This window comes from Homo sapiens, chromosome 4 (assembly GCF_000001405.40).
Source record: "Homo sapiens chromosome 4, GRCh38.p14 Primary Assembly".
Classification (NCBI taxonomy): domain Eukaryota; kingdom Metazoa; phylum Chordata; class Mammalia; order Primates; family Hominidae; genus Homo; species Homo sapiens.
Genome location: NC_000004.12, coordinates 178745731 through 178771754, shown reverse-complemented (window position 1 = coordinate 178771754; position 26024 = coordinate 178745731). Strand labels below are relative to the sequence as shown.

The 26024-nt window shown below is 33.8% G+C and overlaps 1 annotated feature.

The window, feature by feature from the left end:
- Positions 17985–18895: an enhancer, noted in NCBI's record as "NANOG hESC enhancer chr4:179674014-179674924 (GRCh37/hg19 assembly coordinates)". NCBI's record gives its function as "activates a minimal SCP1, AML or CMV promoter by ChIP-STARR-seq in primed H9 embryonic stem cells {active_cell/tissue: H9 hESC(primed)}" and the evidence as "EXISTENCE:reporter gene assay evidence [ECO:0000049][PMID:30033119]".

The window sequence follows — 26024 nt, the reverse complement described above, 5'->3', positions numbered from 1 at the left end:
GGTGGCTCATGCCTGTAATCCCAGCATTTTGGGAGACCGAGGTGGGTGGATCACCTGAGGTCAGGAGTTCGAGACCAGCCTGACCAATATGGTGAAACCCCATCTCTACTAAAAATACACATAAAAAATGAGTTGGGTATGGCGGTGGGTGCCTGTAATCCTAGCTACTTGGGAGACTGAACCAGGAGAATTGCTTGCACCTGGGAGGTAGAGGTTGCAGTGAGCCAAGATTGTGCCACTGCATGTCAGCCTGGGTGACAAGTGTGAGATTCCATATCAAAAAAACAAAATACTAATAAAAGAAAGAATTTAGAATTTCTAAGACAAACCATTGTTCCTTTGTATCTAATCTAAATTCTGGTCAGAACAAGATGTTGTAGACCCTTTTCTCCCTGCTTCTTCCCACTAAGTACAATTCCAAACACAGGAAATAATTCAAGACGTGACCACGGGAGAATGGTGAAAGGAGGAGGCAGGAAGTTCACTGTGTAGGAACTTCAGAATTGGGAAAAGAAGAGAGTGGCAGGACATCTTAAGATCTTTCAACCATGAAGAGAAAGCAACCCATATCTCACGTTTCTTGACTCCCAAAGTAGCAACAGAAGGCAGTCCAGAAAGCCTTATTTCTACCCTGGATTGAATAGGAGTCTCACCCACAGCAGCTGGGCAAAGGAGTACAATCTGGGACTGCTAGCAATATGTGGCCCGATTATCAGGTTGAAAGTCTTTCCACTCATAGCCTGAGACCTTCTTTTCCAGCCAGAGATGCTGAGTGACTGTGAATATCTGCAAGGGGGACCTTGCCACAAAAAGCACCTGGTCTGAAAAGCCTGTTAGTTCCCTTGGTACTGAGAATCCCCCTCCCCACTGAGAAATGCCAGGTAGCTGAGGGCCACCTGCAAGTGGATGTTGTCAGAGAAAGTGCTGTGGCCCAGGAAGCCCGTCATCCTTATGGGCCTGAGCCTCTCCTCAGCTGCAGAGACACACTTGGGCAGCAAAGTGGCAATGGCAAAGAGATTCCACAAGAAACCCCAGCGTAAGCAGCAGTCCCTCGTCCACAAAAAGTGGGTATCCAGCTCCAAAAAGTGCCCGGCCTGAGAAATGCTCTTCTCCACCAGTCATGGAACTCCCTTCTTCACTCACAGATACTGCTTAAACTGGCAGCAAGAAGAATCCTGCCACAAGCCACCTAGACTGGGGAACTTTTTATTCTTGTGGCCCAGAGACTTGCTTCCCACACCTAGTCTACCTCACCTGGCAAATCACCTTTGACTACCTAAGGCAGCAATTAGTGAGGACCGGTGGAAACCCCAGTAGTATCAGGTAAACCACACAGAGAAAAATAACACGGCAAAGGCTCAAAAATTAATTTGTCATTAGAACCACAGGCCCCCCTCTTCTCAATAGTTCAGGATCTGCATGCTAAAGCAAAACAAGATGACTGTCTGCTAAAATAAAGTACTTTTGTAGAACCTAATATTTTCCAAATTAATAGCCAAAATATACTATATACAAGTGAAATTAGCTATCCCTGCAAGAACAAAGTAAATCCCAACTTATGTAAGAAAATATGAAAATTGATGACAACACTGAAAAGCAGCAGCTATCATAAAACTGTTTCAACAGTAATTAAAAATCCTCCTAAAACAAATAAAAAATAGAAAATCTTAGTCAAGCCATAGAAATTATCAAAAAAGAACCACATGGAAATATAGAAATGAAAAATAAAATAACCAAACTAAAAACTTGTGGGATAGGCTTAATAATAGAATGGAGATGTAGAGGAGAGAACTGGTGGCCTTGAGAACAAATAAAGAGAATTTACCAAATCTGAACAAAGAAAAAAAATGTTGGAAGAAGAAGGAGGAGGAGGAGGAAATAGTGCCTCAGGTAACTGTGGGACAGTAACTAAAGATTTACATTTTTTTCATCAGGTTTTAGAAAGGTAGGTGAATAAACATGGAGCTAAATGACTCTTCATAGCAAAATGGCCAAAAATTTCTCAAATTTGGTGGGAAGTTGGGTCAACACAAAAGAGGATAAACCTAAGGAAATTCACACCAAGACATATCATAACTAAATTTTTAAAAACTAAAGACTTGAGGAAAATCTTCAAAGCTGCTAGAGAGAAACAATGCACTAATTATAGGTAAACACCAATTCAAGTGATAGAAGACTTCTCATCTGAATTTATGGAGACCAGAAGGAAGTGACGCATTTTTCAAGTGCTGAAAAAAGAATTATCAACTATAAATTTATATCTGGTGAAACTGTCCTTCAGGAATGAAGAGAAAGTAGATACATGCTTCAAAGGAAAGCCAAAATAATTTACAGCCAAAAGACCTGTACTACAGACAGGTTAAAGAAAGTAGCTCAAACTGAAAGGAAATTATAAAAATAGGGAAACCTGGAGTGTCAGGTTGAAAAAAGAAAAATGGAAAAAAGCAGAAATATCAGTATATACAATGAATTACCTTTTTCTTAAGGGTTTTATAAATTAGATTTGAAGATTGAAACAAAAATTATTACACTATCTTTTAGTCAAGACAATAATATTTAAAAGCTGGAAAATCAAAAGGACATATTATATGAAATCAAAGTTTTCACACTTCCCTTTAAGACAAAAAAGTTGATACTAGCAAACTATATTGTCATACATGTATATCGTCATACTCAGAACAATCACAAATTAAAACACACAATAATATTCACTCAAGCCCAGTAGAAATAAGTCAAGATGGAATTCCAAAAGTGTTCAAAGTACTCACAGGAGGCAATAAAAGAAAAAAATAGAGGAACAAGAGCTAGAGAAAACAAAAAATAAATAAATAAATGATCAGACTTCAGTTCTAACATATCAATAATACCAGTAAATAGAAATGTAAATTATCTAAATGTACTAACCAAAAGGCATAGATTGGTGGAATGGATTTTAAACATGTAGACTCATCATATACTTTTTAGAAGAAAATCACTTTAAATTTGGTGACATAGGTAGGGTGAAAGTAAAAAGATGGAAAAATATATTTATTATAGAAACATTAATACAAAAAACCCTAGGAGTGGCTAAATTATTATTAATTTCAGATAAATAGACTTCAGAGCAAAAATTTTACTAAAAACAAACAGGGATATTGCATAATGAAAAAGAATCCGTTCCACCAGGAAGACTAGAATTAAAAATTCTAAGTTTTTATGCGCCAAAAAACAAAGCCTCAAAATGCATGAAGCAAAAATGATGGAGCTCAATTAGAGTAGGAGAATTCAATACCTCCTTTGTAGCAGTTGATAAAACTACTAGAAAGAACAATGACAGGATATAGACTATGTGAACCAACCAAATAACCAACCAATACGTGAACAAACCAAATAAACCAACAGCATCTAATTAACATATAGAGAACACTTGATGTAACAACAATTGAGTACCTCAAATGCTTTAAATCATTTTTCAATAAATGGAGTAGGTGATAATACAGAATTTTATATTTATTTTAATATACATAAAACACTATCTGAAATAATATAAATTTCCCCTTTTTATACTAAAAAAATGAAATATATAGTTGCATGAGAGTGTTATACTTCAGTCCATAATATATAGAAGAAAAATGGGTGGAGCTTGCAGAAAATATTTTTTAGTAACTTCTATGAAATTGGGGACAAGAGAATTTTAGTTTAAAATTTTGCTTCGTCCACTAAAGTAAATAAATATTTTCATAGTGATTGCAAGCAATTTACAATCTAATAGTGCCGAGACCAACTCAGCTGGGGAGACCCTAATCCAGTGGTGCTAGAGGAATTAAAGACACACACACAGAAATATAGAGGTGTGAAGTGGGAAATCAGGGGTCTCAGCCTTCAGAGCTGAGATCCCCGAACAGAGATTTACCCACATATTTATTAACAGCAAACCAGTCATTAGCATTGTTTCTATAGATGTTAAATTAACTAAAAGTATCCCTTATGGGAAACGAAGGGATGAGCTGAATTAATTGCAGCAGGAACACGCCCTTAAGACACAGATCTCTCATGCTTTTGTTTGTGGCTTAAGAATGCCTTTAAACAGCTTTCCACCCTGGGCGGGCCAGGTGTTCCTTGCCCTCATTCCCATAAACCCATAACCTTCCAGCTTGGGCATTAGGGACATTATAGGCATGTTACAGTGCTGCAGAGATTTTGTTTATGGTCAGTCTTGGGGCCAGTTTATGGTTGGATTTGGGGGGGTTTGCTCCCAACAAATAGTGTCCATGCAGATTATCAAAGATAAATGATAGTACACCATATGTTGCATTGCAAAAGAGTGATAATTCAGACAATGAATAGTGTAAGAAAACTATAAGATGTTGTAATTAAGGAAGAATCTGTTAAAAATTAGCATAAATGATTATTATTCATTAATACAATTTAAACTGGGAAGTGATAAATTTTAGCTTTACAGTTGAAATTGTGAACTCCAGTTCTTGTAGAAAATTTATTTTAAAGGGAAAAGAAAAGGCCATGGTCCTTATACATCAGGGTTCTCCAGGGAAACAGAACAAATAAGATGTGTTTGTGTGTGCGTGTATATACATATATACATACATAGATACACATACACACACACACACATATATATGTGTGTATATGTATACGTATATTAAGGAATTGTCTCACAAGATTATGGAGGCTGGAAAGTCCAAAATTTGCAGGGTGTTTCTGAGGCTAAATCAACTAGGATAACCAATTTTTAAATTCAGGTTTGACGGCAGTAAGGTAGGAGGAATTCCCTCTTGCAAATGGAAAGTCAGTTTTTTGTTATAATCAGACCTTCAGCTTATTGGATGAGGCCCACTCACAAAATAGAGGGTAATGTGCCTTACTTAAGGGCCACAGATTTAAATGTTAATCTCATCAAAAAATGTCCTCAGAGAAACATCCAGAATAATGTTTGAGCACATATCTCGGCACTGTGGCCCACCCAAGTTGATATATACAGTTACCATCACAGTCATCAGCACGATCGCAGTGATCTAGTATAGTATTCTAAAAACCAGATATGCTTACAGTTAGTAAGAGGGAATATAAGGTCTTAAGAACATAATTCTCCAGATCCTGAACTGCCTGGTTTACACTCTCTTAATAATGATTTCTCTGAAAATAGAGTCTGTGATGTGTTCCTTCTTCTTTTCATCTTTCATTTTTTTAAAGCCTTTGCCCCACTTTATAAAATAGATACATGTCAGTTACCATTCACAAATATTAATATGGAGCACTGACACGGGATAAAATACCACTGGTGATTGAAAGTAATAAATGTCAAGAAAGCACACCTCACAGTAGCAGAGCAAAGCTAGTTTCTTTGAGGAATACTGAAGATGATTGTTTTATCTATCTATTTATCTTTCTCATCTTTGGATTATAATTTAGAATGAGACTGTATTTATGGGCATACTTATTTAGATCAGTTAATAAAGTTGGGCTTTTTGTGCCAGAATATAAATTTGGCTGATTTGTTTGACAATAAGAACTGACTGGTAATTAAATTATATGATGGACAGCTTCCCGAAATTGAATGAACCAGAGTGAAAAACCAATGTTTGTCAAAACTATAGAGAATGGATGTATTTAATATTTGATATGCCAGAGATTACATGATTTATAACCTCTAATTTTATTATTAAATTTTTATATCAGTATCAACATTTAGATGTCAAATTTAGGGTTCCTGTGAACCAAAAATATATTTGCTACTGATAGCTTAGTGATATAATGATGTAAGCTTTTACTATGGTGTGGCCATCAGGACGGAAAAGAATATACATCTAATATGCATATATGTATATTTGAGAGAAAATTTGTATTAATTTATAATATATTTTACAAGAGAGTTTAAAAATATTATTATCACTGAAATAAAATTTGCCTGAAAAATTTACTTAATGTATGTTCCTATTAGCCACTATCCTTAAATATAACTTTTTAGGAATTAATTCAGGAATTTAAGATATTAATATCAAAAGGTTAGTTGATTTTAAATAACCCTGCCTATCATTAGAAACTGAATTTTATGATTTATTCTATTATGTTTCAAATTTTCAAAGTTAATATGTAAAATAATAATTACTTAAGTATTAACTGTAAATTAGTGGCATATTTTCTATACATATATGACTAATATATTTTATTAGCATAGAAAATCTTCAGGAACTTTTATGGACCGAATGTTAGTGTCCATCCCCAGATTCATATGTTGAAATCTTAACTTTCAATCGGAAGGTATTAGGAGGTGGTGTCTTAGGAAGTAATTAGGCTTCGCCCTCATGAATGGAATTAGTGCCCTCACTAAAGGGACCACAGAGAGCTAGCTCACTCTGTTTCTGCCATGTGAGGTTACATGGTGAAGCTGGCCATTTGCAAACCAGGAAGCAGGCCCCCACTAGAACCTGACCATACTGGCAATGTAGCCTCAGACTTTCAGCCACCAGGACAGTGAGAAATAAATGTTGGGTCTTTAAGCCCCCAGTCTGTGGTAATTTGTTATAGCAGGCCAAACTGACTAAGATGAGTACATATTGGTTAACTCCTATTTTTTTAACAAAAGAATATGTGGACATCTTTAATATATCACAGTTTGCTTAGTGCACACTATTATAGTAATCACAAGGACTTTTGCTATAGTATGAGTTTTTAGTAAATTTGTGTTATTGTTGGTGGGCCTATTGAAAAGTAAAGCTGTAGGAAGCACTTTACTCACAACGGAGCACTAAGGATATTGCCAACACATAGAATATCTTATATTTTAAGATCTACATTATCGCTGAGTCTATATAGTCTAAAGTTGTTATCCTAGTTGGAGTTCTGTCACAAGTTCTTTTTATTGCTGACTAATATTCATACCTATGCTAGACATTCCAGAAATAATGTAATTTGTGACAACTAAATTATTATTAAATTTTGCAAAACTCAAGAAAATAATGGCCTTGCTTCTCAATCAAAGGTGACTTTTTCCCCCATAGGACATTTAGCAATGTCTGCAGACATTTTTGGTTCACAACTGGGGAGAAGTGATACCGGCATCTACTGAGTAGAGAAGAGGAATTCTCTAAACATTCCACAATGCCTAGGAAATCCCCCCCACCAACCAAAATAATTATTTGGCACAAAATGTCAAGAGTGTCCATGCACTTGTTGAAATAAATTGAAATGACCTGAAATATGGAAATCTTAATAAATGCTTTACCAATGAAATACATAATGTTATCAGTCATCAGGAAGAGCAAATTAAAATAATGAGATCTTATTATTCATCCATTATAATGGATAGCATCAAAACACAGAAAATACCAAATGTAGCTAAGGACATGGAGCAACTGAAAATAGATTGCTGATCAGAAAACAAAACCGTACGACCAAATTGAGGAACTCTTTTGTAATTTCTTAAAAACTTAAAAAATCTGTCCTATGACTCCATGACCTATCTGTGAGTTTACTCAAGAAAAATGAAAATATATGCCAACAAGCATGTGAAAAATATTAATGGTAGCTTTATTGAAAATAATCAGTCATGAAAAAACCCAATGTCCATTAACTGGAGAATGCGTGAACATAATGTTGTAAATCCTTAAAAATGAGACTCAAAGGAAGAGTGCAGTGTTCCCATATACTATTTCATGGGATTTACATTGATTGTACAGAAATAATTCATTTACCCACGTGATGACATTGATGAATCTTAGAAATATTATGTTAAAAAAGATATCAAATGTCTCTTTTGTATGATTCAAATTATAAACATTTTATAAAAATATGAAGCTAATCTATAGTGATAGAAATAAGAAAGCAGTTTCCATTGGGGTGAGAGAAGTATCGACTGAAAAGGAATGCAAGGGAACTTTCGAGGGTGACAGAAATATTTTTTAGCTTGTATTGAGTGAGTGCCTATAATTGTCAAAATTGTCAATTTAAAAATGAAAACCGAATACTTAACACTAAAAATCAAAATTTATACATTTAATTTTATATGACTATTATCTATGTTGAATGGAATAAGCCTTTTCTCACACACTCCTACCAGGTAATAATTTTCATACAATTTTAGTAATCCTAGAATCTCTCTCAACTTAGCCAGAAATACCCATTAAGAAATCCTTTGCAGCTAATATGTGAATTAACAAATATTAGCAACGCTTTGTGTGTACATAATAAAGGAAAAGAGACAAATAATTACTATACAGTAGTTTTCTTCAAATACAAAGGAATTGATAATTTGAATGAATAATAATAAATGAGCATTGCTCAATTTTCTGGGTCTCCTTTGATCAATAAAATATTAAAACTAGGAAAAACAGCATATCAGAAAAACTAGAAAGTTACATTTTATCCATATGAATAAACTCTCAAGAAAGCCATCAAAATATCGTATAGATGGGATTAAACTGTAGGAAAAAACTACCTTCAGAAATAGGTATATTTTCTAAAGTAAAGAGAAAAGAATTCAATCTTGTAGGTGAGAGTTGATATCAAAGGCAGGAAAGAGAATGAGATCTGAAACCTTACTTAATGTTTTATAGCTACAGAAGTTAATTCCAGAAACCCAAGTATTAGCCCAGCTAAGATGGCAGAAATCAGCAGAGTTTGGGATGAAATTCATCTTTTCACGTTACAAGAGAAGACCTTGAGTGAACTCTTCTAACACCACTGGAAGAGAAGATCAAGAATAGGGGAGAAAATACTATTGCATAATTTTTAAGACTCAATGGAAACACTTGAAATGAGAATCATTAAAAGTCTACGATAACTAGACTGAGTAACTATACCAAATATAAAAAAGGAAACTGAAGCATAATCAAGCGTAAAAAAAGCATGAATAAAAGATCACTGACTGAGGATAGCTACAGTTTGTAACTTACCTGAAAGCCTGCTCTAAAGTTTGTGTCTGAAAATATCACTTAACCATGCAGAGAGAAGAAATAAGCAACAAATTTTTTTAACGAGCACTGTAAATTTTTAGCAGAATGCTATTCTGGACTTCTGGCAGGATCATAGCTCACTGAAGCCTCAAACTCCTGTGCTCAAGCCATCCTCCCATCTCAGCCTCCTGAGTAGCTGGAATTACAGGCACAAGCAAGTGCACCCTGTTCCAATTTCTGTTTCTTAACTATGACTAAGGGACTCATTTTAGTCCTTCTTATCTTCCAAGTACTTATTAAAATGATGAAAACCTATAAAAAAGGAAAAAACTAATTTAGTGTTAGAAATTATGGAAGTATTTTAGTTACATGACAATCTCTAATATACATGTACAGCTGAAACTAGATTTGGGAAAGACAAATGTATTTATATTTTATCTCATTAGACAATGAAACAACTCTGGAAAATAATTTGAAGAGATTTTTTGTGAACACATGAATCTAACTTAGCACAGAGTAGCAGAACTTTGAAATGAAGCAACAGCAGGATCCAGTTACCTGCGTGTTGGTGGGCAAGATCTTGATCTTAATACTAAAGTTGGTATAGATTCAGGATATCAGTAAGCACACATTCAGAAGTAAATAACTGAAAATCCAGTTCAAGCAGGCTTAGACAATAGATTACTGATTTCTTCTAATTGCCTTCTGCTGGGCATTTAGTGTGTAGTCTTGTGTTAAAATAGAAAGCGCGCTCGTTTTGAGTTCTATTGCTTTTGGTCTACCCTTTTGGCATCACGTTTTTCAAATTCTTTTAATAATAACTTGTGTTTCTCTCCCTACTTGTTCTTGGGTCTTCCTTTGCTCCCCCAGAGTTATATGGTAGATCTCTCAGCAAATAAACATTCAGCTGTCATTTTTACCGGACTTGGTAATGTGGTGATGAGGTTGGGTGAGCAGGATGTAGTTGGATGTGCCGATTCAGTCTCATCTTAGATTCCGGTGTACCAGGGTCTCAGTGCTGCAGCCTTCAGGAGTCTTCCTGCCCCTTCTCCATATGTAACGCTCAGCCTAACCTCTCCCCACATGTAGAAATATATGTCTATTTTTATGTGTTTGTTTATTTACTGTTCCTCTCTCTATGCTATTGTTTTGACTCCTTTCCCCAGGTAGGTTAAGGCCTTTTGTTGCTTAGATGAGATAGAGAAGATGGCTCTGCGTGGCATTGTTGGTGGTGGTCGACATTTCTTTTCTCCAGCTTCAGTGATTTTCCACCATGTTCCTCAGGCTCCAGGTTTTGATAATCTTCACGTATAAAGTCTTTTGTTCCTTAGGAATGTTGCATTGGTGTAGAGTTTTGATCGTGGTGACAATTCTCCTCCAGCAGCACTTGAAGGAACCTTTCTCAAGATGTTTTCCAACCTTCCCTGTGAGCAACTTCTACAGTTCCTGGAGGAAAAGTCTGTGAGAGGATATAGTCTGTCTTATGGATCTCAGAAGTTTTACCCTTTTATGTCAGCCAAATCTCCACCTTTACAAATCTGTTAAACATTTCTAGCTGAATCTTTCATTGCAGTAGATGGTGTTCAGTAGTGTCTGTCCAAGGTAAGCAAATGTTTGCTCCTGTTTCTCTCTGCTCAGGCATGTCGCTCTCTGTTTTTGAAGATGATTGCTCTATATTCTTCATTCTCTGAATGTTTCAGAAAATGTCATTTATATGTAATTTGTCCAGCAATTTTATTATAAGGGAGCAAATGATGCTCTTTCCAGTCATCTAAATTCCCGAGCTGAAACAAAACTGCCATTATTATTATTAATAATAATAATTATACATAGTTGACTGGTTTGAGTTTTTACCGGAACAGTAAGTAGCAACTGTGTAATGTTTTGGAGAGGTTAATCCAAGCAAATACATGCACTTCCCAAGAGAAAACATTGTATGCGAACACGGTCTTTACTAAGCCTTTACGTGAATCTAATAAACTTAGATTGGCAGCTTTTGTTTTGTTTACAATGCAAATTATTTCTTCGCTTTAAACATCACATACAGACCTTTTCCTGAAATTATATCTTTCACGCCTGACCCTTAAAACCATCTTAATTTCTCTTTCTCTTTGGAAACAATGGAGTATTGGGACCTTTTAAAGCTGTGGACTACTCTCCTGTTGCAAAGACAAAAATAAGACGAAACACACAATTAGCCTTACACCTCTGGCTATGCTGCTTATGAAAGAAAGCTGGATTTTTTCAGGCTTTCCGATATTTACAGCCACAGTGTATTCTATTCAGATGATCCGACATATCTTTTTGACATTCATTCCTATTAGAACTATGTCCTCTAGTTCCATGGGCGAATAAATTTGTGTTTCTATTTCTTTTCTGGTTGCCTTTATTTTAAAATAATATTGCTTTTTAACACTTACATTTATTTCAATATGAAGAAAATTAACATAATTGATCATATGTACTTTTATTTCTGAAGGCTGTCTCCTCATGGGAGTTTTTAAACTATTTTTTCCTCTACATGTTCTAATTTTTTTAAAAAAATTATTTCTAATAGTTTTATGGGTATGAATGTATTATTAATATTTCAAAAAGTATTTTATAGCATTATCATGATTCTTTCAATGTTTATTGCATGACTTGAAGGACTGTCTTGGAACAAACATCTTGAAAAGTAACACTTTAAGGAATGTTTGTAGAATCTTGTATTATTTTTAGTATCATGGTTTTTTAGAGTATCATTGTAGTATAACATTAAAATTCATACCTTTGAGTCACTTAGAAAATACTTTGATGTTTTAATTAAGGTTGTGATTTGTTATATCTTTGCAAATCGCAATAAGATTTGGCTGTCCTTTATTTATTAAATAATTTCATTTTCTTTCATAACATGAAATCTGAACAACATTATGCAATAAATTCATCCATGTATTTTAGTCTATTTAAAGACTTCTTTCTGTACTTTACTGACCCATCCTTCCTAAACAAAATGGTGATGATTTACATCACTTTATCTTTAGAACGTATTAAGATAACTTAGTTAGACATAGCTATTTTGCTTTTGCTGTAATTTCTTACCTGTTTAATGTCTCTGTGTGGTGAAACTTTGGTGGTTTATTTCTAGTTCTAAAAATAATATTGTCAGGATTTATATTGGGATAGCTTTAAATATGCAATTTAATTGAAATAAAATAAATATATTTGAAGATTATGTCTTTGTATAGGTAACAGCATGTTGGTACCTTCCATTTTTTTTTACTTCATTTACATCTCTGTAGAGTTTAAAGTGTCATTTCTATAGTATATTCAATGTATATATTTGTTAATATTATTATTAATCTTTTTAATGCTATAAATGGACAAGTTGTCCAATTTTTATTTTAAGAATTAACTTCTGCATATAGGAAAGCTACTGTGTTTCTATACCAATAATGTGAACAACGAGCTATCTCAATAAATGCTGCTACTTTAATGGCTTTAAGTGGATATTGTTGTCTTTTTTAACCTCACTTAATCACAAAGTATTATTTGTTAAACAACTATTTTAAGCCACATTCTGTGGTAAGCACCGGAAACATTAGCAGATAAGACTAATTATTGCAGGCTTTTATTAGGTTGGTGGTAGAATATAGAAAATGAAAAATAAAATGCTTATTTCATTGGGTGTTCATCAGTTTCAAACACTTGAAGAAATATAATAAGATTGCACATATCTATTGTGTTATGCAACATGGAGTTCACTGGTAAACTTGAAAAGATAACTTATATATGACAACATACAGGGATAAAATCAATAGACAAAATCTGGAATGGGTCCCAATCATTATAGGGAGAAAAAAACAAATATAACAAATACAAAATCTTTTAAATTTTTTCCTACAAATGAAATCATAGACTTGGAGTGGTAATGAGTAGTTCTGTACACATGTGCAAACTGCCAGAACATGTTCATCTGTTGATGGAAGAGCATCCGGAGAAACAATCTGATGATTAAGAATGGGAGAGATGGCACCTACAGCAGTACAAACCTTCAGCAACTTAGAAAAGATAAGACCCATCAGGTATGATGGCTCATGCCTGTAATTTGAGCATGCTGGGAGGCCAAAGCGGGCAGATCACCTGTGGTCAGGAGTTCAAGACCAGCCTGGCCAACATGGAGAAACTCTGTCTCTACTAAAAATACAAAAATTAGCCAGTCATGTTGGCGGGTAGCTGTAATCACAGCTGCTCAAGAGGCTGAGGCGAGAGAATCTCTTGATCCCGGGAGGTAGAGGTTGCAGTGGGCCAATATAACACCACTACACTCCAGCCTGGGTGACAGAGCAAGACTGTCTCAAATAAATAAATAAATAGAAAAGAAAGAAAAGATCCTATGAAAAAGTAACTTTATAACATTTGTCAAAAGTCAAGTTATGACTTTTAAACATAATAATTGGAACAGAAAAAGAAACAGGAAATATTGAGCAGATGAGTGCATGTTGTATTTATTATGGTAGAAAAATAGGAAAATTCCTGTTGGATTGTTTCTATTTTTTCAGTGAAGTATTTATGAAAGTCATTCTCTGAGAGTGAGAGGTGAGGAAAAGGGGTATATGCAGGATGACAAATAGATTTCTGAGGTCATTATCCTGTGAGCTGTTGGGTGAGGAAGCATAGATAAGGAACACATTTCTCAAATCTTTATTTGAGATCTTCTCTATGCTTTGCTCAGGCAGTGTGCCTTACAAGGTCTTCTTTCCTTTGCATAGCAATAAAAAAAATTCAGCTTTTTGTCTCAAATATTGAGTTGTGATATTATTCTTCAACGAATTTAGCTTTCAGTAATATAGATTTTTTTTTTTTTTTCCGAGACAGAATCTTGCTCTGTTGCCCAGGCTGGAGAGCAGTGGCACAATCTCAGCTCACTGCAACCTCCTCCTTTTAGGTTCAAGCAATTTTCCTGCCTCAGCCTCCTGAGTAGCTGGGATTACAGGTGCTCACCACCACACTCAGCTAATTTTTGTATTTTTTAGTAGAGCTGGGGTTTCACCATGTTGGCCAGGCTGGTCTCGATCTGCTGACCTTGTGATCCGCCCGTCTCGGCTGGGATGACAGGTGTGCACCACTGCACTCAGCCTAGATTTTTTCTTTTTATTACTGTCATTCCATAGGATACTCAGAGAAACAGGCACACTAACTTAAACCCTTGTGCTCAAACTACAACCATCTTCTTTATCTGCTGCTAGGTGAATCTGTCTCAACAATTTTCTGTGCTAATTTATTTTCGATGAGTTAACTGAATGTTTTGTTTTTGAGGTGGACCATTTGATACATTCTCATGCCAAGTGTGTTTTATTTCCCTTGTTTTCTATTTATCTAATTGTAGATATTATTATCTCAGATGTTTTTATGTTATCTTGATAATTTGAAGCCATTTAATTGCATAAAGATAAGCTTCAAATGGAACACATAGAAAAGGAAGGCCAATCAATCTCCAGTTGAATGTAACCCCCAAGATTGATGGTTGTAGAAAATTTAGAGTAATAACCATTTTGTGAAAAGTCAATTAATCATACTGTGCCTTGGGTACCTCAACAAACATTGAGGTCACCTTTGTTCTGTCAAATTACTAAGGAATATTACCCTGTAAAGCTTGTGTTTTAGGGTCATATAGCTCATTGATCATATGGCCACTTCAGAGACTATTTTGTAATGGAAATCAAGACACGGTTCACAATTATACACTTTTGACCAATTATACTGGCCTTTATCCTATTTGTCATGTGATCATTCACATCAAGCTGCCATGTCTTCCTGACAAAATTCTGCTTCATAAGTATAATTTCATTATAATCTTAATGCTGGTGCTTTCCTTGGTAAATGACAACATTTTACAAATGATGACTTTAAATAATAAGGAGTCCACTGTGATAAAATGTTCGTAAGGAAAAATCTTTCTGATATCGGAAAGATGTTATCTGTAGAGAGGCTTAATAATAGCATTATTGATGAACAGTTTGCCCAATGGTTCTGGAAAGAAATTTCAGAAATAATAATTTCTATGATACCTAAGAATAGGTCTTGAGAAGCCAGGACACTTGCCTAGGAAAACAAGAAAATCTCTACACTTTTTGCCAAAAATTTTCTATGAGAATTCAGTGGTGAGGAAATGGTAAAAGTATCAAACAAAACCAGAAAGAAACATTTTCAAGAAGGGCAGTAGACATGCCAATTCCAACTTCATCTATAATGAACACAATCCTGGAAATACTGTAAAGATTAAAAATAAACTGGAACTACACCCAGAGGGACTTCTTAAACATCACCAAATAATAGCCTCCCTCTGTGGGTACAATAATTCACTAACAACATGTTTATTTTCTAGTTAAAATTATTCTCCTGTTAACAAGCTACTGTACTCACAGTGGCTAAAACTGTCATATTACATTTTTCCCTAACTAGTACATTTCAACTTATTTCTCTATTGATAGAGAAATACATTTTACTATGATAGTTATGATGTAAAGTTGTGTCTCTTACTCAGATACTCAGTGTCCAAACCATCTACAAATCTTGGGAAAAGTGAAAAGAACAAATGGAATGTAAAAGCCAAATTTATCTAAACTGTCATACGTCCTTAATCTCTGATGACCCAGCATACTATAATTCACTTTCATAGCCTTTCATTCTTTCTTCTCAAGAAGTCATAGGTCACCCCCTGTCAAGTTCACTGACTGTCCCGTGCAAATAAAAATAAACCCCTCTGTACTTGTTTTCAGTCTTTTGCAAGTTGGTTAGCAAAATATTTTAAAGCACTAATTCACATCAGTCCTATCATGGTGTCCTTCCTTTCAACCACCAAATCGTCCCCTGTATAACCTATATCAGGTTATCTGGTATTCTGGAGAAGACATCAGACAAATACTGATTTTGGACATTGCTGGAGAAATATACTCTATCAGATGTCCTTGATTACTTTGTAAACAATTAAAGTACAAGGAATTCATACTTGGATATGTGTTACTCAACTAAAACAACTTCACCCATTATCAAAGTAAAAGAACTACAAAATTACACCCATAGAAGATTAAAGTGAGTTTCTCCAGTTAGAGAGGTAAACTACAGACTCAGATCCTTGGAGTACACATAGGGTAGAGAGTTTTTTCTCAGTATCAGTTAGAACAAGAGAGTCTTTGAACCACAATCGTCATATCTTCTCTGTATACATTTGCATTTTACCTTTTTAGCTATATTTTTCCTCTGTCCTTGTTTAAGGCTCTCCATTTAATCCATGATACCCCAAGTCTTTAATTTTGATTTCTCAAACTATTGGTAGTGTGTGCAATTTATGTAATTCTGTGTCTTGTCAGAGAAAAGACAAATGAATGAACCCATAATGGAAAGTTGCATTCATTCAAAATGTTTAAGCATAGAAAAAAATGAGAATATCAAGGTGTATCAGGCAATCTTACCTATAATGGTACCCTTTTGAACACAAAGAAACTTACATTTGCAATGGAATAGGATAAATAAATATTCTTAGGTTGTAATAGTGACTATTTTTCGTGAAAACTCCCAGAGATAATATATCTAGAACTCTAATAAAAATAGTAACATCTCTTGTACATTTCTTTCTTTCTTTTTTTTAAATGTGAGAATCACTTCATTTTTAATGCCAATCCAGGAGCAAGGATTACTTTTCTGTGGCATAAAAAGCTATACCATTACAAGTCTATGACTTCCTAACTTTCTCAGAGAACTGTCTTCTTGCAGAGATGGGACGCATAATATCCTTTTCTGGTAGTATAACTAACAATTTTTACAACAGACTCCTAAGGATGGCCATCTTATCCATAGCAGTGAATGACACAAGGTGGTAATAAAAAATGTTTTCCTTACTTGACCTAACATAATAAATACCTAATATAATAAATAGTATAGCTTATGTCCTGAGGAACCACTCATGAGTTTAATTTCTTAGTTCAATTAGTTATGGATGAAATAATAACTTCTGTTTTTTTTTCTTCTTTTTTATTTTTTGGCCAAGCAGCAGGAAGTCTGCATTATTGCTGAACTTAAGTACCCGAATGAATACCACTATTAAGATGGAAAATCTAGATCTGTACTAATGGGAAGGTAACTTGTCTAAAGCTTATCTCATTAAAAAAAAAAAAAAACCTATGCAGATGAAAGAAAATATAGACTTAGGGAGTCATTGTCACTTGATTTCTTCAGCAAGACTGAACAATCTTTTAATACTTTCAATTATTGTTACTTGACTTATATCCATTTGATATGTTACACAAGGCCTTTTGTACAGCTATCGTCGCCATATGGCTCTGTATATGATTCAAAGAAAAAAGCAGAAAAAATTATGCTAATCAATACACAAACTGAAAATCAGAATTTCACAAATGACATGTTTGTCTTCTGGTCGAATCAACACCTCAACAACAGGGCTCTAGACAATACCTGATGATATTTCCTGGAGCTTTGGCTGGGACAGACAAACAGAGTTGACTAAGAATAAAAAGTTTCTGACCTACTAGGAAAGGACTGATTTTTCTTCAGCTGTAGTAAGTAACACATACCAGAATTATTTAAAATAATTGTAATTATTTAAAATGGTTGTAAATGATCCATGACAATTTGGCACCAGTAGCCAGGCTTTTGAGAGTCATTCTCATGCTTCTGAAAGTCAGCCAATCCATAAAGCAGCACTCCAGTTAATATATTTGATATCTTTATATTTCATACTTGTAAATATCAACTGCCCACTTTGCTCAGACAAACAGTGCCTTACAAGTGTGCCATACAGCACTCTCTTCATTAATGAATAATACATTCAGAGTGCCTGCTTGCCTTCTTTCCTTTCTTTTTTTCCTCCTTTTTCTTTGAAAGATATTTAAATTTGGCTGCCTCTTTGTCATCCACATTTAACTATGCAACTTAGTTCACATAAGGTTATAGGCTTCCAAAACAGACATGAAAGTATACGCTATACATTCCTTTGTTTTTATATTTATATGCACATATATATTTGAGATTTTTACATAAGTGATAAAAATTATAGCAGTTGCATAATATAATTAATGCATGATATTGTGTTTTGTTTTTAAAAATCGAAGAACTATACATAGAAATCTTGGTTCTGTTTCAAAAGAGCCATAGGTTAGCAACCTTGAGAATGCCAATGAGATTCATCAAAGCAGACCATATGAAAGAAAAGGTGGTTTTTCATTTTATTAACATTGGCTACTGGAAATTTAGAGAAATTATTGAAAAAGAAAGGAAAAATTCAGCATGGCCTCGACCTATTTTAACACCTCATTGACATCCCGTTGACACCTCATTAAGAAGATCTATGTGTTCCCCCTTCAGGATTTTCTCAGAAAATCTATTTTCCCCCTTAAATGAGAACATTTGCCACAAAAATAAAGAGCTCTGTATGAAAGCCGAGAATGCTTTGGGGGCATGTGTGGGTTGGGAGAGAAGAGGATAGCTGGCAAGGAATTTGTTCATGTTACTGTGCTTGCAAGCTGAAATACATCAAAGGAAATAGAATCTCATGATCTTATCCGAGAGAGATGCCAGCTCCAGGAGAAGAAAACACTTAAGGGCTTTAGTTAGACTCACAGTATAGGTCAGTTAAATGCAAATTGTAAAACACAAAGGTTGGTTTTAATCCACTTTCCTTGCCTGGAAGAAAGCTTTAAGCCTCTCAAAATTCAGAGAGGCTCATATATTTAGAGCTAGTTTAAATCCTATTAAACCAAAGAGGGATTATGTAGATTAATAAAAAGGGGGGTATTTTTGTTTGTTTATTTGAACATAATATTCTCTGAGCCATTCTTAATTATTGGAGTCTTCAGTTTGAGTTTGAGTTCTCAGTTTCAGTTGACCCTGCAATTTTACTATTTACACAACCCTTATAAACTGGATGTAAAAGATTGATAGTTAATACTTTTAAGTGACATATTTTACCCAGAATGAGGTCATTAAAATATTTTGCTTATAGCTGTATATGATAGAAGAACATATTAAGAATAAAAGTTAATTTTAAAGATAAAGCTACTTAGGCCAGATTCACCAAAGCATTTGCACAAAAGATGGGAAAGTTTGCAAACTTTATTTCGTTTGTCAAAAGGGGTATATATTTGTGTGTGTGTATCATATACATATTTGTGTGTGTGTATCATATACATATATATATATTTGTAGAATAAACTTCAAAACAATATATTAATATTATACATTAATTATATTAACATTAATAATGCATTGACAACTCTTAAAGGGATTTTAATTCTTCAAAACCATTATATGACTTGCTTCTTATAGTGGGATAAGGACTAATAAATTCAGGAAATATGGATATATATACATATATATGTATATATATATGAAGAGAGAGATTTCTGTACCTAATATTTATTTAAAACCAAAGTTGACAATTAAAAAAGAAATGTGTTTTGATTCTTATCAGGATACAGAATTTAAAAATGTCTATTTATTTAAATATTATTATGAGATCCCTATTATGTTTCAGGGATGGTACCAACCACTATGAACAAAATGGACTTTGCCCTTGTGCCATCCACTAATGGCAGTCGATTAGTGATTTCTTCATTCATGACATAAATGAAGTCTGGACATACGTAAAGATACAGAGGTATAAGCTAGTGGAGGTAAGTACCCATATTGGCATAGATTCAGTGTAGAAAGTACTCATAAAGTATAAATATATATCTATAAGCATAATATATAGATATACTAAAACATTTAATTTATTCAGTGTTTAAAAGTAAGTTGTGCTCTTCTCTTAATTCTCTTGCTGGGTTTTATTATTTCTAAAGAGAACCATGATTTAAGGCTTATATTTTAAAATATCTCCCAAAAAAGACATTGTTGTTAAAACGTAGCTGTAGAGGCCAAGTGGGGAAAAATGGTAGAAAGAAATACCTTGGAGGACAGTTTTGTTGTACACCATTTGGCCTTAAATAAATGCATGGTTCTGCTACTGAAAATTTATTACTTATGTCAAAGGAACAGTAATTAAACTGCTCCTTCTAAGCTTTTTTGATAGGCCATTTTCAGAATAAATGGTTGAGGCTGAGAAAGGGCACTTGGCATTTAAGATCCTTACCTTTAGGGTATTATTCTCCTTGATTTTTCTATTCAATATGATATCTTTTTTCACTTTTACACCATTTTAGAAGGAAGTTTTCTGCTACTTTAGCAAAAGACTTGAGAACCACATAGAAATGGTAAGTTGTTCCTAAGGTAGATTTAATTACTTTGACAACTGAATTTGGTCATTAAATAGAAATGAGAAGTGATTAATAAAGGGAACACGTATAAACCCTAAAGAAAGATGACAGATGTAACAAGTTATCAAGGTAAAGAGGGCAAATTTTATATTTTGACACTGAATAATAAAAAAATCATAAAGTCAGCGTTTTATAAAATGGTTTAAAATAATTATCTGTTTAGAGTTATTTGTGTGTATAAAATATAAATATAAATACATCTTACATGTGGATATATAAATATGTCTATGTATTACACTTTCTGATCGTGACCTACAATTTTCTTTTTAAAGAACAAGTAATTCACAAGCTAAATCCTGGAAAATTTTTAAAGGAACTGATAAAAATTGAATTAATTCTTCATTTAACAGTAATTATTAATCACTTCTAAAACTCTTTTATAAAAATCAAATTTAATTGATTTTTCCATTAACTTGTAGGTTTATCTTCATTGTGTCTTAGCATACATGTCTATAGCATGCACAAAACTTGCTGCACTCAAGGTAACATTTTTGTAACATTTGTGATAGTACCACTTTTTAATTTGAAAGCCTACCAGCAGCAGATCTGAAAAAGAAAGGAAGTAGGCTCATGCAAAATAGGTATCAGCCCTCATAATTTTAACCTGTATATACTCCTGCCACATTTTCTTTTTAAAACATCTTGCCATTTCCCTTAACTTTTCATTGCTCCCTTAACATGCTTTGTATTTTGTCTCAATTTCTATAACTATTTTCAGTCAGCCTGTATATTTCCCCTACACTGTGTTTACAAATTATGAACCAAATGTAAAAGGTTAGCTCATGAAAGCATCATTCACACTGGCCAGGTGCAAAGCAGTTAATCGCGTAGACTTTCTACTATTCTTGTATTCCTTTGTTCACTCATTCATTCTACAAATATTTGTTAAGGACCTACTATGGAATAATCATTGTGATTCCAGGAAAAATGATAAATAACACAGCTTCTGCCCTCAAAGAACTTGCCGTCTCTTGAGAAATAGAGGAACATAGGTAGTTAATACAATACAACATGATTAACCAATTATGGTAATAATGAAGCCATGAAGAGCATGCCTAAATAAGGGGATAACAAGGGAAAAGGAATGAAAGTCAGGAAAATACTTACAGGAGTTTACATTTGATTTGAATCTTAATCGATGATTGGTAAGTACAAATATAAAAAGAAATGGATGAGAACAATCATTTCCAGGCAATAGAGAAAGAATAAATACAGGAAAGAAGGCCAAAAACATGCACAGAATTCCATAAATATTTCAGAGGAGGGTACATTAATAACAAGAAATAAATATCATGGTAATTGACAAATATCTGTAGGTATGCCACTTCCTGAAATATCTAATATAAACATTGGGCTTTTTAAATTAGTAGATATGAAAAGAAGCAAATTTAACACATATAAATTTGACAAAACTTGTTTTCTAATTGAAATGTCATAATTCAAGGGATTCCCATATTATATCATGAAAAATATAAACTTTTAAAGGATACACAAGATGAAGACTTAGATGATAAAAAAAATACTTAAATGTATACAATTATCAGAAATGACCTTAGAATTATCAACCTCACTTCTATATTTGTAATATAAAAAACATTTATTTAATGAAACAATCATTATTTAATTATAAGGTCCTTCAAAAGACATACCTACTTATTATGGATAAATAAATAGAAGAGTCACTTGGTTGCAGAATAAGTATTCACATTATTTGATTGTAACTATAGACCTTGGTTTTAAAAATATACTTTAATCACACGTTCTCTTTTCTCCCCCTTCCTTTTTCCCTCTCACTCTTTCATTCCTTCCCTCTCTAGACACTCCCCTCTGGCAATGTATGCCTATCCAATTATGGTTTTGCTTAAGACATTCCAAAGGCTAATCTTGAACAAAGTAGGCATGGAGCTCTGATTGGCCAATCTTTGCCCATTTGTTTGAGAGAGTTGCAAACAGCTAGTTCAGAACTATCCTGAGAATTCAAGAAAACACCAACCAAACCTGTGGACGGCTGATTACCCAAGATAGCCATTGGAACAAAGAGACACAGATCTTGGACTCTGCACTACTCCTTCATGTTTTCCATACCAAGTTTCCCTTTAAAAACTCTATGGTAAAATTTTAAACTTAAACTTTTTGCAACTATAGTCCACCATCATCTCCATTTGCTTGGCTCTCAGAATAAACCTGCTTTTTCTCCCACCAACCCTTCTCTCTCATGTTTGGATTTCAAGCACTGAGTGGCCAAACCTGGCTTCAGTTACAAGATGGCTAATATTCTAAGAAACATATTACTAAGAAGTAGCTAATTGGTTGAGCTTAAGTTTAAATAAGACAATCTGGTTTCAGAGCACATGCCATCTTTTGTTACTCAAATTATCTAACCTCAAGCCTAAAACAGTGTGTTTTTCAACTATGTGTGTAGGTGAGTTGTGGTGGTCAGGAAGGAGAATCCTACTGAAATAATATGGGGAGTCACACTATGTAAACACACAATTGGTACTCCTCCAGTTGAAAGATGATTGGAACCTGCTTGTCAGGAATCATGACTTAACCTCTGCAGTTCATGGTGAAGGATCCAAAGTTCACTAAGAAGTACATATTACTATTCTAAATTTTTAAAGAGTATTACACTGAAAATATCACAGTTTTGGTTAACTTTTTTTTTTTTTTTACAATTTACTCCTTTATATAGTACAAGTGAAATAAAACAGCTTACACGCAATAACAAGTTTTTTTTTAATGTTCTGCTGATTGATAATGACAAAATGTAATCTTTCAAAATTTATCAGTTGTAATTGATTTAATAAAAAATGTTATTGTCAATTATTAATACTTCATTTTTAAACATCAAATTTTTATAGACTATCTGCTACTTCTTTGCTTATACAAGGCAATAATTCTATTTATTGTATTTGTTTGTCCAAAAACCTCACAGTAAACATTATAGATTAGCCCATTATTTTTAGGAAATGCTTCCCAATGTTTATAGTGTCTAATTATCAACACTTGAATGCAAGGACAAAATTATATTGTGTTACCTTAAACACTTAAACATGAGAAATTTAGCTAAAATTTTCCCCAGCCAAAACACTTCAACAGTGGTTACTGATTTTAATATAGTATTTTCAACACATAGTCAGATTTTTAATACTCAATACTTACTAGTAAATACTGATAACTTTGTGTAGCGTGTAGTTGTTGAAAAAGAAGTTTTAAGAAGTGAAATTATAATTATTGACTTCTATTTGTTTTCTGTCTAATTAAAGATACTAAAAATCATCTGAGTTCATTTGGAAATCACTGTGTATATTAATAGATTTAGTTTTACACTTGAAGTGTTGTCCATTTGCTCCTAGCAAACAAGAAAATTGTTACAAGAAAAGTATTCTTGCCTTAAATATCTGTCTGTAATCTGAAGTACAAGGTGCATGATATCATTTATAATTCATATCCTAAGCATGAATTTTCTATTTGAGGTAATTTTTTAAGAAATAAAACAAGTCTTTGAAATGTTAAATATAATTTTAATTATATAAAAATCTCCTATTTAAGCAAAGGCATTTAAATGGCAGTTTTTAAACTGATGAACACATACGGAGAATGTATTCACTTATTATGCTTTAGGAAATGTAGTACTTGTCCAGGCATCTTATGCGCCTCATGGCATTAAAATGCCATGTTAGGATTTATATCACGTAGCACGTATTTGGTTATAATAAAAAGCTCAATTCAAACAAATTTAGGCAGAACAGGAGAATTTATTAACTTGACACTGGTATCTCATAATACTCAAAAGACAGAAATATACCTCTATTGCAAAAATAACTGGACCTATGAAGTAGGATGTCAGGATGTCTTGACACCGCTGTCTCTTTTGCTCTTCTTTTTAGTCTCTTTCCTTTTGAGCTTTTGCCTCTTTTTCCTTTATCTCTCTTAGTAGAGATAGTTTTATTCATATAACAAAAACCATACCTATGATATATTTCAAATAAAATAATAATCTGGTACCCTTAATAATACCTAAAAATTCCAAGCATATTTTAAACTGAATAAAAAATATGGAATGTCCAATAAACAAAGGAATATAGATTAGTCAATACATATTTACAGATGACTGGTACAACATGTGTTCAAAATTACTGTTGGACCCATATCTCCTGCATTACATTAAAATACTACTAATTGCACTCATGATTTATTTTGATGGGCAGTAAGGGGCAAAAATATTTAAACATTTTTCCAAAGAGTTACCCAATTATATCAGCAAGCTTTTGAATAAGGTTGAATCTTAGTTTGTTTGGACTGCTGTAACAAAATACCATAACATGATAAGCCTATCAACAAGAGAAATTTATTTCTCACAGTACTGAAATCTGGAAAGTCCAATGTCAAGATACAGCAGGTTTGGTGTTGGTTGAAGACCCGCTTTCTAGTTCCTAGATGGTTCCTTTTGGAGTGTTCAGCATTTCATAATCAAAATGGTACTTCATTTCTGCCTGAATTAAAAATGCCTCTATTTTAACCTAAATACATGTCTTCATGAGTTATTATATCACAGAACAGGAAATAAATTGCCTTCACATTTTTTCTAGTCTATTATATTAAATATTATCAATGTATATAGAGATATACATGTTTAGTTCTACCATGAAGAACCAGATTATTCATATTTCTAATGAACATACACACATTTCCTTTTTGTTAATTTATAAATGTATAATTCTGAGATCATCATGGTTTTTAACCAAATGTGATTTTTAAAATTAAAATACTTTAAAAATAATTATGAGAAAGATTTTTAGGACTAAAGAAACTATTTTCACTGTCTGATAATTTTCAAGATAAATTTTTACTAATAGAGCTCTTGATAAAAATGCATGTCAGAGGGATATTGATTTTTATGTTCTAATGATGTTCAGTACAAATACAGAACATTCAGTAACGTTTTTCTGTATTCTTTAAAATATGTGTTTATGTGTGTGTATATATGTATATGTGTGTATCTGTAAATGTACATATATAAAAATTTTGCTTTAGGCCGGGCGCGATGGCTCACGCCTGTAATCCCAGCACTTTGGGAGGCCGAGGCTGGTGGATCACGAGGTCAGGAGATCCAGACCATCCTGGCTAACAAGGTAAAACCCTGTCTCTACTAAAAATACAAAAACTTAGCTGGACGTGGTGGCGGGCGCCTGTAGTCCCAGCTAGTCGGGAGGCTGAGGCAGGAGAATGACGTGAACCCAGGAGGTGGAGCTTCCAGTAAGCGGAGATTGTGCCACCGCACTCCAGCCTGGGTGACAGAGCGAGACTCCGTCTCAAAAAAAAAAAAAAAAATTATGCTTTGTGCGTGTTGCCGCATAATATCGCTAACTGTAAAAAGTGGAACTGTGCTATCTCAAACAATGGAGAAAGTATAATTTGTCATGATTTATCATAACTAATATTAAAATTAATCTGTTGTGAATCTTTATTTGTAGGGGTCAGCTTTACTATTATAACTTGAGGCTTTTTTTCTTTCAAGAAATAGACTAGAAAAATTGTAGTGCTGTTACTTTAATAATGCAAAGTTCTTTTATTTATTTATTTACTTAATTTATTATTTTCTTTGAGATGGAGTTTTGCTCTGTGGCCCAGGCTGGAGTATAGTGGCGCGATCTCGGTTCACTGCAACCTCCACCTCCCAGTTTCAAGGGATTCCCCTGCCTCAGCCTCCCAAATATCTGGGATTACAGGCGGGCGCCACCATGCCCAGCTAATTTCTGTATTTTTAGTAGAGATGGGTTTCACCATGTCGGCCAGGCTGCTCTTGAATTCCTGACCTCAG